At 40.8% G+C, this 18,746-nt stretch overlaps 1 protein-coding gene across 11 annotated transcripts in view; it reads right to left on the bottom strand.

Annotated features, from left to right (window-relative positions):
* DHX35 (DEAH-box helicase 35) overlaps positions 1–18,746 on the bottom strand; it is a 77,378-nt gene that overhangs the window by 13,680 nt on the left and 44,952 nt on the right. For 3 of the 11 annotated variants that reach the window (NR_033905.2, NM_021931.4, NM_001190809.2), the window contains 6 exons: positions 15,638–15,762; positions 11,108–11,162; positions 7,143–7,238; positions 4,107–4,201; positions 2,275–2,352; positions 683–812 (listed from right to left, as the gene is read on the bottom strand). Coding sequence is in view for 8 of the 11 variants with exons in the window: in NM_021931.4 (NP_068750.2) it covers positions 683–812; positions 2,275–2,352; positions 4,107–4,201; positions 7,143–7,238; positions 11,108–11,162; positions 15,638–15,762 (579 nt within the window). In the remaining 3 variants the exon portion in view is untranslated. Of the gene's footprint in view, positions 1–682; positions 813–2,274; positions 2,353–4,106; positions 4,202–7,141; positions 7,239–11,102; positions 11,163–15,462; positions 15,531–15,637; positions 15,783–18,746 lie in introns of those variants that run through there. The other 8 variants (XM_011528972.3, XM_047440354.1, XM_006723848.4 and 5 more) reach the window with 7 other exon arrangements.

Genomic DNA, 18,746 nt, shown 5'->3' with positions numbered 1-18,746 from the left:
GCCACATACAGATCTGGCTCTCCTCCTTACCAGTTGCGTGGTCCTGAATTTAATCTACCTTCTCCCTAGGATCTTACGACTAATTGTAAAATGAGGATAACATTACCGACACCTCACAGAGTGCGAGATTGAGCAAGAGAATATTTGGAGAACCCCTGCCACAGCGTAACCTACTGTGTCCCTGATTAATAGTAGTCACTGTCACTGCTAGAGGCCAGAGACTACGTCTTACATAGTACTTTTCTGTCTTACCTTTAGTGGCTGCCTAGGCTAAATATCCAGCACTTGCTTTAATAATACTTGTCTTTGAATATAAAATTTAATTTTTATGTAATAGCTACTAATATCACTGATCAAAAAGTAATTTTTCTTGCAAAGCCTACATGGGAAAATCAATGACATGATGTGCACTGATGTGACTGTTAGTGATTCTTAAGTATTGTCATGGGCTATGAAATTCCTTTAGTAAGAATGCCCATCAGAAAGAAAAATAGACCTCCTTGGAAAAAATACGCAACTTGACCTTCAGCTTTTCACAGATGCAGGCAACTCAAAATATAAAACCCAGTGTTGGTACAGAGCACGCCACACTGCCTCGCACCAGCCCAGCATGAGAACTTTAGGAAGACAACTCAACAGAATGAAGCAAGGGAGGTCACCAGCTGGGACGGTTTCTTCTCACCTTCACTAGACTTCCTGGGCACTTGAAACTTGACAAGAAGCTTTTTCAATTGTTCTCTTACAGTCGCAGCTCTGACAAGACCCTTGTAATTCAGGAAATGTTCCTGACACCATTTAGAGTCCTTATTGTGCTACAGAACAACCCAGAGAGAGGGAGTTAGAAAACAGATATGTTCTCGACTAAGGCTATGTTGTAAAGATCATTCTTCTCTCTTCCCCCATGTGCTGTTCAACGGCATAAGATCTAAAGATGGGAACTGGCCCTTTTTTGCCCCATCTCTCAAAACAGATGTTAACAACCTTGCACACATCTGACTGCTCTGCAACCTCACTCTTTACACTAAAGGGCAAATGAGAACTTAATGACACGCAGAAACGGTTTCAATCTTACATACCTTCATGAGATGTGAACTATCAGAAAGAACCATTTCTCCACGTGGTTCTTTGTAAATCAACTTTTCTTCTTTGGCATGCTTGAATGTATCACTTTATTATACTAGAAGCCAACAATATGACACTTGCCAATGTAGAAATAATTTACAAATTACTATTATTTGTCCCCAAAGCATGATTTTTCTATCAACAGTATTTAATTTTTTCTGCATTCATAAGTATGATCATTATGTCTTAGAGTAAATTATTGCTGTGGAAATGTACCTCTGAAATTCTATTGTAAGTTAAAGTGCTTTAAAAAAGAAAATGTAATTAATAGAAGATATTCCAAGAAGGCAACCATAGAATAATACAATGTAGACCTATACCCACTTTCTAGTGGTAGAGAAAGCTTCAGACTGCAGATGATACATTGTGCCTGTACAAATGAATTTTAACTGATTTAAGCCGTAAGTCTCAAAAAGAGTGAATTTCTTTTTTCTGAAAACTTTTCACCAACTGAATAATCTTCCTCAAATCACTGGTAAACAAAAATTTAGTATTTCTTCACTTCTAAAAGAGTATTTAAGAAATGAGTATTAAAAATCTGAAGTATTATACCCTTTCTTTTATGTAAGGTTACTTTTTTCATCATTTTCATCACCTTTATTAACAATTTTTCATGAGAACTTTAAGCTGTATTATTTGCTTAGTTTTAAAGAATATTAACAATAAAAAATTAACATCACTTATAGCTAAATATGGGTGGGATATGTGAATATGCACAGATCTCAACTAAATGTCTTCTCATGGCAGCTGGGACAGCTTTGAAGATTCAACCCAGGACTACAAGTTGCTCTCAGCCTCATTCACCTGGCAGAAAATGTAACAGAACTTCCTATTCAAATGTTGCCTTTCTGTCTACTGCACAGTGGATGTGAGATGACGTGAGGCTGGGCCACTGGCCTGCCACTAGTGTACCATATCTCCAAGCAAGGGAAAGCAATGAATGATTCCTGTGTTCTTCTCAGCAATACCTCACCACAAACTCAGGCAGAAAGCCCGACCCACCAGTTAGAAGTACTGGCAATAAATCTAACAGGAAAATCAAGGGCTCTCTTGGACATTCCTTTACGAACTGAACTTCTGGGATCCTCCCTCCTAGATCACCTCCAGAGGGTGGTGTGTTGAGGCGGCACTTCGAGCAGTAGTTGTGCTTACTTTGATAAATGCTTCATATATATTGAGCATAGTGAGGTGGTCGCCCTCCTCCACAGCAAATTTACGGTGCACTCGAATCTGGAAAGAATGAAGCAACATTCAGAATTTCACTCTTTGCTGGGTGTGGTGGCTCACACCTATAATCCCAGCATTTGGTGAGGCTAAGGTGGGAGGATTGCCTGAACCCAGAAGTTCGAGACCAGCCTGGGCAACATAGGTAAACCCCATGTCTACAAAAGCTAAAAAAAAAAATCAGCAGGGCATGGTGGTGTATGCCTCTAAGCCCCAGCTACTAGGCTGAGGTGGAAGGATCGCTTGAGCCCAGGAGCCATGTTTGCACCACTGCGCTCCAACCAAGGCAACAGGGCGAGACCCTGTCTCAAAAAAGAAAAAAAGAAAGAAAGAAAGAAATTGACTTTTGCACTGGAAGTAATATTGCATGGTGAATAGCGTGTGGGTTATGGATTCAGAAAGACCTAGTTTGCAGCATTCTAGCTCTGCCATATCTTGAAAGAACTCAGCTTGGTTACTTAACCTCTCTCAGCCTTGATTTCCTTATCTGTAAAATCAGGAAACTAAACCTATCAAGATTGCTGTGGATTAAGATAATTTATTACAAGGTATCTGGCAAAGAAATTTGATAAAATGTTAGTGTTCTTGTCTCTCTCCTCCTCCAGGTTAATTAAAAACAAAACTAAACAAAAACAGACATAAGCATCTGGGCACAGAGGCAGAAAAACTTTGTAATCTATAGTTATACAACTGACAAGGAGGATCCCAACAATCCCTAAGAAAGTCTCTCTCCTCCTCATTACACATACAAATTCAGCCCCTCCATGCATAAGGCTGCTAATTCTCTGACTTTCAAACAGGAACTGACTTTGAACTCATCTCTGACCTACCTCTATCAACACACCTTACTTCTGAGTATCTATCTCTTCAGTATCAAAACTTGTCCTTCCGTCTTTCCAGTGTTCACTCAATTAGTCATTGCTGATGCCTGCACCTTAGGTGGGGATTGGATCTCTCTAGCTTATAATGGCCCACCTGCAACATGACCATGATGTCGTGTGGTGCCCAGAATCAGCCTGCTATACCCTGGCACCTGACTTCTTATGTCACTAATGTGCCCACCAAGGTTTCTAGCAGAGCAGTCTGAATGACAATTTCCCTGACAGAAACTAGAAGTTGGTAGTTCAATGGTTAAGGTGTGGGGCTCTGGACTGTGAATCCAGAGCCAACAATTCTGGCTGTGCAACTGTGAATGAGTTACCTAACCTCTCTATGCCTCCATCTTTAAAATATGATAATAGGCCGGGCACGGTGGCTCACGCTTGTAATACCAGCACTTTGGGAGGTCAAGGGCGGATCACCTGAGGTCAGGAGTTCGAGACCGGCCTGGCCAATATGGTGAAACCCCATCTCTACTAAAAATACAAAAATTAGCCGGGCGTGGTGGAGCACGCTTGTAATCCTAGCTACATGGGAGGCAGGAGCATCACTTGAACCTGGGAGGCAGAGTGCAGTTGCAGTGGGCTGAGATCACGCCACTGCATTCCAGCCTGAGCAACAGAGCGAGACTTCCTCTCAATAAATAAATAAATAAATAAAATATGATAATAATATCTACTTCCCAGGCTTATAATGAAGATAAAGTGGAATGATGCCTGCAAAACACCTGACACAACATCAAGCACGGAATAAACACTCAAAACATGAGCAGATCACATTTGTACAGCTCTGTCTTCAGCAGTTCCTGAGTACAGTTTTGACAACGAAAGCTCAAAGCAAAAGAGACTGGTACAGACAGCCTGGGGACAGAGCTGACTTACTGCGTGAGACTTCTGGTTTGGGGGGACCACAAAGATATTCTGGATCTGCATCATGGCAGCGATGCTTAGAATTTCCTGAGAACAGCCGAAGTTTCCTGTAAAACAAAAAGCATGTTTGGTTTCAACCATATAATGTGCCAACAAGAAGTGAAAGACATTTTCTGATACTTTCCTTGCACCACACTGAAGACTAAGATCATATTTTTTCTAGAGCTTAATTTTTAAAGTGTATAGTATATAAGCCTGGGCAGCATGGCAAAACCCCATCTCTACAAAAAATTAAACAATTAGCCAGGCATGGTGGTATGTGCCTGTGGTCCAGCTACTCAGGAGGATTGCTTAAAGCTGGGAGGTCAAGGCTGCAGTGAGCCAAGTTCACGCCACTGCATTCCAGCCAGGGTGACAGCACAAGACCCTCTCTCAGAAAAATAAAAACAAAAAAATGAAGTTTATAAAATAAAAATATTTCACTCAGCCAAATGTGAAGTCCCATATGTAACCCAGATGAATAGTAGCCTTGAAGGACTCCAAAAAAGGAGGTGTTACTGCCCTCTGCAGCTGAAATATAGGGGACTCTGACTATAAGCCAAGGTCAAGACTGGCCCCATCACTAAGGGCAGGTCAGCTCCGCACCTGCTCCCTACCCTCCTGTGGGAACATCTGGAATCCTGGCAGGAAGTCCGAGAGGGGACAGGGAATGAGCGGCTTGTGCCCCTTCTGCTGTTTCTCTGCTCCTGACCCCTTCTATGAAGTGGCTTCCTTCTCAAAAGGGTTCATCTCAGCTGGGAAGCCCAAGGCACAACTAGACCAGCAAAGCACGCTGGGGGCTGCTGGAACGCCTGGAAACAGTCACCAGCAATCACCACTCCAGGGCACAAGGCAGAGTACACTACACTGCTCGTCCCATCTCCCCACTACCTCCCATCTCATGAATGATGCACTTCCCCAGTCCACACTTAGAATCCTGTTTCTCGGCCAGGTGTGGTAGCTCACACCTGTAATCCCAGCACTTTGGGAGGCCAAGGCGGGCAGATGACCTGAGGTCAGGAGTTCAAAACCAGCCTGGCCAACATAGTGAAACCCCATCTCTACTAAAAATACAAAATTAGCTGGGCATGGTGGCACATGCCTGTAATCCCAGCTACTCAGGAGGCTGAGGCACAAGAATTGCTTGAACTGAACCCAGGAGGCAGAGGTTGTAGTGAGCTGAGATTGCGCCACTGCACTCTAGTCTAGGCGACAGAGTGAGACACTGTCTCAAAAAAAAAAAAAAAAAAAAGAATCCTGTTTCTAAATGGAAGGCTGAGAACAAGTGGTTGTTCCAAAACATAATTAGTTAGCTTTCCCCATACTGGGTCTAAAGTACATCTTCATAAATTGCTAGTTGACATAAAAGTTAGACAAAACCAAGAAAAAATTAAACTGTCTTTCCCAGAGGTAAAAAAACAAATTATACTTTCTAGATGACTTTGATTTCTAATTACGAGAAGACTTCCAGATCTTTTAACCTAGAACCCATGTCCTCACAAAAATCTGAAGAAGTCAAAGAAATTGGAACCCTCGTGTACTGCTGGCAGAAATGCAAAATGGTACACCTATTAATGGAAAATAGTAGGGCACTACCTCAAAAAACTAAAAATGGACTTATATGCTCTGACAATCACACTTCTAGGTATATATGCAAAGGAACTGAAACTGGTATTTCAAGGAGATATCTGCATTCCCATATTCATTTCAGCATTATTTACAACAGCCACAATTTGGAAGCAATCCAAGTGTCCATTCACTGGATGAATGAAGAAAGAAAATGTGGTTTATATAAATATGTACACACACAATGAAATAACATGCAGCCTTAAAAAAGAAGAGAACACTGTCATTCATGACAGCATAAATGGAACTGGAGGACATTATGCCAAGTGAAATAAGGCAGGCACAGAAAGACAAACACCATATGATCTCACTCATATATGGAATCTAAAAAAGTCAATCTCATAGAAACAGAGAGTAGAAAGGTGGTTACCAGAGGCTGGGAGATCCCCTGGGTCAGGGGGTGAATGGAGAAAGAGGAGGTGTTGATCAAAGGGTACAAAGTTTCAGTTAGACTGGAGGAATAGGTTTTAGTGATCTATTGCACTGCATGGTGACCACAGTTAATAATAATGTATCGTATATTTCAAAATTGCTAAGAGAATAGAATTTTAACATTCTTAGCACAAATTCTTAGCACAAAAAAAATGATAAGTTGGTGAGTTGGTGAATATGTTAATTTGCTTGACTGAATCTACAATGTGTACATAGATTAAAACATCACACTCTATCTCATAAATATATACAATTATTATTTGTCAATTAAAAATACATTTTTAAAAATTAAAGAATTATCATGATTTAGTAATTCCACTTCTGGCTATATACCCAATAAACATAAAAGCAGGGACTCAAAATGATATTTGTGTATCCATGTTCATAGCAGCATTATTCACAATAGCCAAAAGTTAGAAGCAACCAAAGTGTCTGTCAACAGATAAACAAACAAAACATGGTATAGATATACAATAAAATACTATTCCGCCTTAAAAATGAAGAAAATTTTAACACATACTACAACATGGATGAACCTGGAAGACATTATGCTAACAGAAACAAGAGAGTCACAAGGACAAATACTGTGTGATTGCACTTCTGAGGGTTCTCAGAGCAGTCAAATTCATAGAGACAGAAAGTAGTGGTGGTTGCCAGGGGCGGGGCAGAGGAGAGAATAAGGAATTTGTGTTTACCAAGTATGGAGTTTCAATGGAAAAGATGGAAAAAGTTCTAGAAATGGATGGTGCTGATGGTTGCACAACAATGTGAACGTACTTTGTATCACAGAACTACACACATAAAATGGTTAAAACAATAAATGTTATGTTACAGATATATATATACTTCTTTACCATATTGTACCCTCTTCCCCAGGGTGCTCAGAATTCAGGCAAACAACACCTCTGACAGTCAAAATAAAATCAATTCAAGCTATCAGGCTCTACCCACCTGATTCAAGCAGCATTTTGGCAAACATGGGATTCAAAGGAAACTCTGCAATTCTCATGCCAAGCGGTTCAGTTAGGCGACAGTCTTTGTCCAGACCTGCCATAAGAACAACAAAAGAAATCAGAAGGCAGGTACCATTGTGTTGGAAGGCACACAGTTGCTGAGAGAATAAAAGATAATGTATGCTAAAAAGAAGAAAGTATCCAAAAGATGATTCATGCACTACACCAAACTCCATTTGACACTAGAGTGCCATTACCTTAAAAGAAGAAAAGATCTCCACTGAGCTCTTGAATACCCAATTTTTTAAAAAACTGATACTTCTAAAGACTTCTATTCAAGGACTTAATTATAAGGAAATCCCCCTGCAGCCTTCTCCTGCTTGTACCCTCTCCTCAATCCACAAGAGCCTCACCTGTTCCCACTACTCCGAAGAGACCACTCTTCCCAAGAACCTAACAACTGGGTAGCACCAAACGCAAGGCATCTTCCTGATGGCCTCAGCAGCACTCGGCTCTGCTGGCCGCTGCTTCTTGGAACTACTCTTCGCCAGCTCCCGGCCCCCAACTCTCCTGGTTCTCTGCCATCTCCATTGCCCCCTCACTGTCTGGACTTTCTACCACCTCCAGGACCGGACAGGCCACAGATGTGCCAGGATGGTATCGATGGCATCCCGTGTCCTGTGCCCTTCTCATACTAAATGAGTGATATGGTTTGGCTGTGTTCCCACCCAAATCTCACCTTGAATTGTAAACATGTCAAGGGCGGGGCCGAGTGGAGGTAACTGAATCACAGGGGCAGTCTCCCCCATACTGTTATCGTGATAATAAGTCTCACAAGATCTGATAGCTTTGTAAATGGGAGTTCCCCTGCACAAGTTCTCTTGCCTGCTGCCATATAAGACATGCCTTTGCTCTTCCATGACTGTGAGGCCTCCCCAGCCATGTGGAACTGTGAGTCCATTAAACCTTTCCTTTATAAATTACCCGGTCTTGAGTATCTCTTTATTAGCCACAATGAGAACAACAATGAGCAACTACAGGGCCAGCAACTTGGAATCTAAACACTAACCCAGATCCCTCTGGTGCCAACACCAGCCCTGTTCATGCAACTGCCTCCTGAACATTTTGCTGAACTGGGCTGACTCTTTCAACTCCCCACCTGCCCTTCTTGCCCTCTATTGGCAATACCTTGCCAATATCCAGGTATTGGATTCCCAAGATATAGACTACTGTTTTACTACTTAAACGCTGCAAGATCTCACAGTAAGGCAGAGCTCAGTAAGACATCTCTTTAAAGGTGGTAATTCAGCTTGAAATCAAATGAAGCTGGCGGGGGGAGGCGGGGGGTCCCTCTATCTTTTCCAGCTTATTTAGGGTATTGAAGAAATAGGAAATATCTTAAATTTCATTCTGTTTGACTGGAGAAAAACCAGCCCAAATAAAAACTCCTATGCTGTCAACATTCTCTCATCCTCACTACAGATCAGCCCAGGAAATGTGCTTTCGAGTTCCCATTACATGCTTGAGAAGAAGGGGGTGGAAACCTTCTCCAACACACATTCACTCCAGGCTGATCTTATGTAAATCCAGCTGAAGGTCTTTTAAATCACTGGAGATCTTTTAAATCAGTAATTGGCTATTCACAGAGAAGTAAAATCAACATAATGAATGAAGATGGACCCCTACCTCACTCCATACCAAAAAAGTAACTTAAAATGGATCAGACCTAATGTAAGGGCCAAAACTATAAAACCTAGGAGAATATCTTAATGACTACAAGTTAGGCAAGTTTCTTAGACATGACACCAAGGGCACACGTAACAAAAGAAAAATACAGATAAATGGAACCACACAAAAACTTAAAATTTTTGTACTGCAAACAATACTAATAAGTAAAAAGTAAGTACATGTAAGTAAAAAGCCAAAACACAAAAATGGGAGAAATATTTACAAACCACATATCTGATAAGAATATGTGCCCAGAATGTATGAAGAACTTCAACTCAATTTAAAAAAAAAAAAAAAAAAAGACAACAGCACACATAAAAATGGGCAAAGGATTTGAACAGACTTTTCTCCAAAGAAGATTTACAAATGGGCAGCAAGCACACGAAAAGGTGCTCAACATCATGACTCATCAGGGAAACGCAAATCAAAACCAAGAGATACCATTTCACACCCACTAGGATGGCTATAACACAAAAGACAATTACAAGCATTGGCAACAATGTGGAAAAACTGGAACTCTCATACATTGCTGGTGGGAATGTCCACCAAAACCACATTTATATGCTAATATTTATAGCAGCATTATTTATATCAGCCAAAAAGTGGAAACAACCCAAATGTCTATCAACTAATGAATGGATAAAAAATATGTGGTATATCCATACAACAGAATATTATTCAGTGATAAAAGGGGATAAGGTATGAATATACGTTACAACATGAAGGAACCTGTGAAACATGATACTAAATGAAAGAAGCTGCTATGGTTTGGATGTAGTTTGTCCCCACCAAAGCTCATGTTGAAATTTGATCCCCAACGTGACAGTGTTGGGAGATGGGGCCTACTGGGAAGTGTATGGGTCATGAGGGTGATCCCTCATGAACAGATTAATGCCCTTACCCAGGGTGAGTAATGGATTAGTTCCCATGACAGCAGGTTCTTAAAAGAGCCTGGCTTCCTCTGTTTCTCTTCCTGGCTTCCTCTCTTGCCATGTGATCTCTGCACCCGCCCACTCTCCTTTTGCTTTCCACCTTGAGTGGAAGCAGGCTGAGGCCCTCCTCAAATACAGCTGCCTAATCTTGGAGCTTTCAGCCACCTGAATCGTGACCCAAATAAACCTCTTTAGAAATTACCCAGCCTCTGGCATTCTGTTATAGCAACAGCAGACAGACTGAAACAGAAGCCAATCACAAAAGACCACATATTATACAATTCCATTTACATGAAATGTCCAGAAAAGGCACACCTATAGAGATAAAAACTCTCTATAGAGACTGAACCAGAGAGTGGTTGCCTTGGGCTGGGGGACTAGGGGGAAAGAGAATGAGAAGTTCGGCGCTAATGGGTAAAGATTTCTTTTTTGGGTGATGAATATGCTCTACAATTAGACTGTGGTGATGGTTGCACAACCCTGAAAATATGCTAAAAGCCTCTGAATTTGTACACTGTAAACGAGTGAATTGTATAGTACATAAACTATACTTCAATACAGCTACTTAAAAAAAAAGTAACACTCAAAATAAATCTCAAAAAGCAAAATCTCCACTAAAACTTAATTCAAAATTGGAAATTATATTCATTTGTGGTACCAATCACAGAAGAAACAGTACTCCCCAAAGCGGTGAATTCAGACTATGATTTTCTCTATGTCAAGATAAACGCTATTAAGGTTGGGACAAAAGCAATTGCGGGTTTTGCCATTACTTTCAATGGCAAAAACCACAATTATTTTTGCACCAACCTAATAACATCTTCAATCGACAACTGAATAGAAGTTCCCCCGTAACATGGTGTTAGAAGCTGATAATGTCCCCAATTCTCCACAAGCAACTCCAGGAATGAAATGAAGAGGATTTAGGGAGAGAATACTGAGCCACGATTTTTAAGGATGTGGTTGTTGGGTGGAGAAAAAAGGTCTGGGGAGGTAAGATCTGACATCCTGGTAGGGAACTGCTGATCTCTAGACATCTCTTAGGAGTGTAGCCCTGGTGATTCTTACTAATAGCTTCTGACGAACTGGCATGTTTTATATACTGGCTGTCATAATTAGCTTTCATGTGTCTAATTATGGTCCCAACTTCCTATTTCAATAAAGTATCATTAGGGGGATTATATATATGGGGAGAACCAATCCCATTCCTGAAGATACTAAAATCCCTAAAGTGAATATGACCTCACTAATATCACAAAAGACAACACATAATAAGAGAGAATGATGAGAGAAACTGGCATACCTCCCAGAGCATACAGTAACTCCAAGGCTTGAACCATCGACTGTGCTGGAGGGGGCTGGAAAAAACATAAAAATCTTCCTGAATCAATTTATTTGGGCAACAAACATTAAAATGTGGCTGTTTCCTTTTCAAATCCATTCTCCCCTCTAACATGCCCCATTCTTCCCAGCCTCCATGTTTCTGTTCTTGCTGTTGGCACCTCTTGAAATGTCCTTCCTGTCCTTCTAGGCACCCTTGTACTGCTTGGCCTTTAAGGCTCAGCTTGATGAAACATTTCCCTTTGAAGTGCTCCCTCATCCTCCCCTCCATCAGACGTGATAGGTCCCTATCTTAAACTACCTCTTCATTTTCCTTAAACCCTCCTGAGACATTTCTAATTTTTACTTCACAGACTCAACCTTCTACCACACCGGGGCCCCAGGACACTGCAGCACTCAGGGCTCGGGGATGATTTATCTTTGCATCCCCCATAGACCCACTCCAGGCCCCGTGGTGGGTAAATAACATACGCTGAATTTGTTTTTTCTTAATCCCTGTCTGGAAACTACAACATATGTCGAATCTGAATTTCAAAAAATAATAGCTCTAGAGACCTTAAAGTTCATAAGCAAAGCTGATGTAGTGAGCCTCAGTCTGATTTTCCAGATCTTTACCTCCTTTCCTTCTACAAATCTTGACTGAGCACCTAAGTGCCAGGCATCATATTTTTTCTCTCTAAATTATGTGGTTTCTAATAACCCAGGTAATAAAATTACAGTACATTTTTAAACTGCATAGGATGTTTTCTAAATGCATTTTTTCTAAATTCACATAGCATTTTTTTCTAAATGCATTCACATAACAAATGTATTTTATTCATCACATTGTTTTAGCTCAGTTTTACAGATGAGGAAACTGAACTGCAATAAGGAAAAGACAGCTGAACAAGGTCATATAGGCAGTTGGTGGCAAAGCTGAACTCAGGCCTCATTTTTCCCAGTCTACCTTCCCTACTTTGTTTGCCAAAGACCAAAGTTAAACTTTTTTAAAAGTTGTAGTGACCGTACACACAGGTGAACACACGAGGGCAGGAACTAAACCTATTGGATTCATTACACAGAGAGGATTCAACAAATCACCATTGAGCAAATCATGTAAATGATCCACTAGCCCTTCCTTGGTGCTTACAACATCTTTCTCTACAAAGAAGCAAAATGGGCAACACTTAAATGAAGGAGCTTAAACCCTGTGGGATCTTTTATACTGAGAGTGGATGAGGTAACAGGAATAGCAATCTCTGAACTAGGCTTTTAACAATTACAGAAAAAGCTAACAAGGTCAGCTCTGACTCAATTCCTGGCCCGATTTCCAGTCAATTAACAAAAAAAACTTATCCCCCTCTCCACAAAAATCTTATCCATAGTATTTTCATCTAATCACATTCACTAGTATTTCTCTGTGACCTCAACTGATTTGGGATAATACAGAAACACTGTTTTAACATATCTGGAATTACTGTTTATGTATAGTTTTAGTGTGGTCTTCTCACTACATGTTTTTCTGTTTTCATTGTTTCTTGCACCCATACAAACTTCACAGTAACTACTTGGGATGGCTGCATAATACTCTATGACAATCATACTCCATAAAAAAGTCAATTTTCTTATTGCTGGGCAATTAAATTGTTCCAGTTTTTCACCATTGTAAATAACATTGCTAAATATACAAAATTATATGTACTCTGTAATTTCAATCATAAAAACCACAATTTCAGGGGATAATAACCAGAAGGAAATATGTGAAGATAAATTTGTATTTTTTTTTTCATTTTTCAACTGTCCAAAAGTTTTACGATAATTTTCATTATTTATATTTTTAAATGTAATATAAATGCTATAAGCATTATCACATATGTAAGCTTTTTTTCTTCTTCTGAATTATTTTTTCAGGAGAAATTTTTATGAGAAGAAATAGCAGACATTTCTACGGCTCATTAAATGTTGTCAGAAAGTCCTCCATGGGGACAGAAACGGTATAACATGGGAGGAATTTACTTTCCCAAATTGTGGCAGTTTTCGATTTCACCATTTTTGTTTATACTCAATCATTTAATTAGTGTAAAGTCAACTGCGCACAGTGGCTCACACCTGTAATCCCAGCACTTTGGGAGGCCAAGGTGGGCAGATCACCTGAGGTCAGGCGTTCAAGACCATCCTGGCCAACATGGCAAAACCCCGTCTCTACTAAAAATACAAAAAATTAACCGAGCATGGTGGCTCTTTCCTGTAGTCCCAGCTACTTGGGAGGCTGAGATACGAGAATCACTTGAACCCAAGAGGCAGAGGTTGCAATGAGCTGAGATCGCACAACTGCACTCCAGCCTGGGTGACAGAGAGAGACTCTGTCTCAAAAAAAAAAAAAATTAGTGTAAAGTCATCCTTTATAGCTATATCAACGTGCAGTCACCTCTCTCCTAGAGAAGCTCAACATGTCCTAATGATAGTTGAAATTTGAATTTGTGCTGTTTTTTTCCTTTAGCTTTATTTAGTGAATATTTACTGTAAATGATGTGCATATAAAAACTCTTCATATTTTTTGAGATACTGATCTGTCATTTCTGTCACTGTATGTTTTTCTTTAATTTTACATGCGGGGCTTTTCATAAGCTTTCAAATCAGCACATACTGTTTATCTTTTCTTTTTTTTTAAGAAAGAGTCTCACCCTATTGCCCAGGCTGGAGTGCAGTGGCACAATCTCAGCTCACTGCAACCTCCACCTCCCGGGTTCAAGCGTTTCTCCTGCCTCAAGCCTCCCAAGTAGCTGGGACTACAGGCGCATGCCACCATGCCTGGCTAATTTTTGTATTTTTAGTAGAGACGGGGTTTCACCATGTTGGCCAGGCTGGTCTTGAAGTCCGGACCTCAAGTGATCCACCTGCCTCGGCCTCCCAAAGTGCTGGGATTACAGGCATAAGCCACCACGCTCAGCCTGTTTATCTTTTCTTTATAATATCTTCTACTCTACACCAATAATCAAAGGGTCCATTTTCCCTATACTTATGGTAAGTACACAATTTTCTTTGGGGGAGTTGATATTTGTATGTTCTATTCTTTCATTCACCTAGTTTACCATCACATATGACATTAGGGACTTTACTATCCAAGAATCCAGACTTTCCAGACTTGTCATATCATATACAGTTGGGAAAAAACAAAGTTCTCAAATCATAAAAATTCTAGAAGAAAATATGAGAGAATATGTATTAACTGACCCAAATATAAGAAGTACTTCATAAGGGCAAGAATAACCAAAGAGGCCGGGGGTGGTGGCTCACGCCTATAATCCTAGCACTTCGGGAGGCCCAGACGGGGTGGATCACCTGACCTGCTCAGGAGTTTGAGACCAGCCTGGTCAACAAGGCAAAACCTTGTCTCTACTAAAAATATAAAAAATTAGCCAGGCGTGGTGGCACACACCTGTAATCCCAGCCACTCAAGAGGCTGAAGCACAAGAATCACTTGAGCCTGGGAGGCAGAGGTTGCAGTGAGCCAAGATGGCACCACTGCACTCCAGCCTGGGCTACAGAGTGAGACTGTCTCAGAAAATAAAGAAAGAAAAAAAGAATAGCCAAAGAAATCATAAAGGCAAAAATAGATTACTGTGAATATGTTTAGAATGTCCACACATTAAAAAAAAAACAGTAAAATATAAATAGAAAATATTTGTAAGAAATATTATAAAAATTAATGTCTTTAATATTCAAAGGACTCTTGAAAATCACTAACTGACACAAATTCTAACAGATAAATAGCTTAACAACTCAGAAGAAATAAAAACTGACTAATAAATGTTTTTATAAAAATCTATCTTATGAAAAATTTAAAAATAATTATAATAAAGGTGATTTCCTCTCTCTGGCCAATCAAATCAGCAAACCCAAAGAAGATAACATGGCACAATGGAAGTACCACAAGGTGGGCATTCAGGCACTGCTAGAGTTGACATTGGTAAAGCAATCTGGCCATGTAACAGGACCCTAAACAGGACAACGGCCCTTTGACCCAGTCATTCTACTCCTAGAAATCATCTCAGGAAGCAATCAGGCACAAGGGTCTTCCTGCAGCTCTATCTAAAGCTGCAGGAAGGATCCCCCAATCATGGTACTCCTGCATCTAGGCCTCTACAAAGACTAGCTGTCCTGGAACTCTCCACTCCTAACCTGGTGAGATTCTATTTGGGTTTCAGGTTTCACCTGGGAGGCCCTTCCTTTGTCTCTCAGAGCCCTGGGCACACTGCTCTGTAATTACCCACTTACTTGTCTCTATTCCCCAGCAGACAAGAACAGGAACTATGTAAGAATAGGAATTGAGGCTACCTTGTCTGGCTGTTTTCCCCTACGTCCTGCACAGGGCCTGGTTGCAAAGCAGACACACAACACATGACCTGAGTAGGGAAAAAAAGGAAAGATGGCATGCCCTACGACAATGTCCTGACATCCCCCTGTGAGCTCCCTAGCCTCCCTATGGCCCCAGACAGCAGGCAGGACTTACCGACATGAAGTGGAACCTGAGGACATTGTCAATTCCTAGTGCTTTCAGCTGCAGGATGACAGGTGCCAAATTACTACGCTGCATCTCAGGAACCGTAGACTGAGGCAACTTGTCAAAGGCTTCCTCTGAGGATAGGAAATCAGAACTGTTTGGGACCAAATGTCACAATCAAATGCAATCACTATGCCAAGGGACAAATTTTCTTCTCTATCTTGAACAAGGGTCTCTAGGATTCTAGAAGCAGATGCACATGATACCATGATATAAAGTTATTTTTATACTTAGGAAAGACCATTCTATTTTTAAAATGCCTTAGATAAATATATTTGAATACACCTTTATAAAACTTTATCTAAAATTCTGTTTTTTAATGTTTTTTGTCAGCAAAACATTAAATCAAACCAACAAGTACTTGCTGAATCACTATCAGTTCCCAGTTGCCACCATCTCTGTTTGGAATAAGTCAAGGAAGCAAGAGCTTCACATACAAGCAAAGAACAATTTCAAGATAAATCACCAAAATACAACAAATGACCAAATCTTATAAAGAGCAAAAATTGTCCAAATCAAATTTTTAAATCAACAAGCCAGGTACACAATATCATTCCCAGAATCCAATGCTGCCCCAAACCAAGAAATGAATGTTTACATGCCCTACCAGGAAGAAGAGGTGACCTTACACAGGAAAAAGCATCCTAAGACACAGAGATCCCAAGACAGGAAGGGCAGAAAGGGAGGGGGAAGGAGAAGAGACTTTGGAAGAAGGCCTTTTTATAAAAGCTAGGCAGGAAGGGTGGGGAAAAAAGAGGAAGAGATTAACTCATTTTCATGTATATTCAGAAAGCTTAAGGATTATATAGAGAATGCTCCACCCACCAAAACCTCCCACATCAGTCAACATTGTAACTGATGTACACCCTTCTTAAACAATACAAGGGTGACCCAACTTCCATTTAGATCATAAAGCTTTAGTTAACTAGAGGAAAAAAAAAAAAGTGCCATGAAGAAATACCACTATCCCCGAAAAACTTCAGAAAGGTTTTCTTTGAGAAAACAGACAACCAATATTCTGTGGACTAATTGATACAAATTGGGTCTAACTAGAAGGTTCTGGATGACGGCCAACAGCAGGAAGTTCCAAATGAGCTACTTCCTTTAGTTTCAAGAGAATTTGGGGTACAGCTTCTTGATAGGATAACCCCATTTTCCAAGCACACTACTAACCAAAGGAGAAACAAAGTTAACACATAAGAGGACCACCCTGCTGAAAAGCTCACAGGAAGTGGGTGTTTCCTAAAAGTTCAATGACAGGCAAGCTCTCCTGAGGACTCAAGTGTGTGAAGCATGGGGCCAGAAGCTGTAGGAGTCACAGCCAATCCCCTTGAAAAGCTTCAGTGATATGCAGGGGCCTGGGACCTGGACCAGAAACAGTTGACCCTCAAGGAGAAATAGGAAAAGTCCCAAGGAGTGGTCCTCCCAAAGAGAAATGGAGGCTCAGGGAAGGAGGAAGCAGGGTGGCTGGAAGAAGGCCTCCAGGGAAGCTGCATGTTGCCATTTGAGGGAGGATTTGAAGGACAAGGAGGATCTGTTGGGCAAAGAGGAAACAGCTCAAGGAAAAGGTATCTAAGCGTTTCTCATGCAGAGAGCATGTCGTGTAGTAGTTCAGCTGAGAAGCAATTTGTAGTGGTTAGTAGGAGAAGATAAGCTGAGGAAAAATCCTGGATGGTTTGAGAAAATGTGGAGGGTCTGAGCAGGTGGTACCCTGTTCAAAGCAATACTTTCTGGAGGCTCCTGTGGAGGCCTAGAGGCTGGACACCAATGCACTCATTACAGTCAGGGGCCCTCCCCAACCCCACTTCCACTAAACTGCTCATGCAAAGGGATTCAGTGACTTTTCACCCAAATCCACCTGCCTATCTTTAGTCCATGATTTCTTGGCACATGAGATAATGCTGGCCTCTTTAAAAGTAACTTGAGCTCCTTAAAAGTTAAACAAAATTACATATAACCCTGTAATAGCCAAAACGAATTAAAAACACCTACTCAAGTACATGTACATGCAGGTTCATACCAGCACTATTCACAATAGCCAAAAGGCAAAAACAGCCCAAATGTCCACAACTAATAAATGAATAAACAAAGTGTGGTTTATCTATACAACAGAATATTAGTCAGTAATAAAAAGGAATGAAGTACATGCTACAATGTAGATAAGCCTCAAAACCATTATGCTAAAAGAAGCCAGACACAAAAGGTCACATATTGTATGACTTTTTATATGAAATATCCAAAAGAGAGAAATCCATTGAGAAGAACACAGGTTGGTGATTTCCAGGGACTGGTAGCCAGAAAGAATGGGGAGAAACTGCTTAAAGCATAAGGGATTTTATTCTGGAGTGGCTGAAATGTTCTGAAACTAGATGGAGGCAGTGGTCACACAACATTGTGAATATAATAAATTGTTCACTTTAATGTGTTTAATGTTGTGTTATGTAAATTTCACCCCAATAAATAATTTTTGAAGAGAAAAATGTCTTGAAACCTTCTCTGCATGTCAGAATCCCTTTCAGTCCTGGCTCTCCCTTTTCCACTCTAGTCATTCCTTCTTAGCATCTTCAGTGGTTGCCCTTGGTCCTCAGGCCCTGGGTTCTGCCTATTCCCTCCCTTCTGTGAATGTTCCAAACCCACTTCCTTCCCTGCAAGTACTTGTACCTTCCATTCCCTCTGCCTGGTGCGCTGAAATTGAATCTCCCCAATCACCTCTTCGCCTAGATAAGGACTGTATTGCCAGTAAGATCAGGCTCAAACAACACCCTGGTTGTGAAGTACTCCCCAAATCCCCAGAAGGATAACACCAGCTTCTAGGAGAAGGCATCTAAGGTAGCTTCATGAGGGAACTGCCATCTGAGAGAGGATTTGAAAGATAAGGAAGATCTGCTGGGCAGGGAAAACAGCCCAAGGAAAAGCCTCTGCTCTCTGCTTCCAAGGCTCCCGATTCTTTATGGCTCCCTATCATACCATAATATGCTGATCTGTTTTGAGGTCTACCTCCACCACCAGACTGTCAGTCACTGTGGCCACAGACCATGGTTACTAGCCCCAGATCTCC

The sequence above is a fragment of the Homo sapiens genome, chromosome 20, assembly GCF_000001405.40.
Source record: "Homo sapiens chromosome 20, GRCh38.p14 Primary Assembly".
Lineage (NCBI taxonomy): Eukaryota > Metazoa > Chordata > Mammalia > Primates > Hominidae > Homo > Homo sapiens.
Note: the sequence above shows the minus strand (reverse complement) of the source record. Positions and strands in the feature narration are given on the sequence as shown.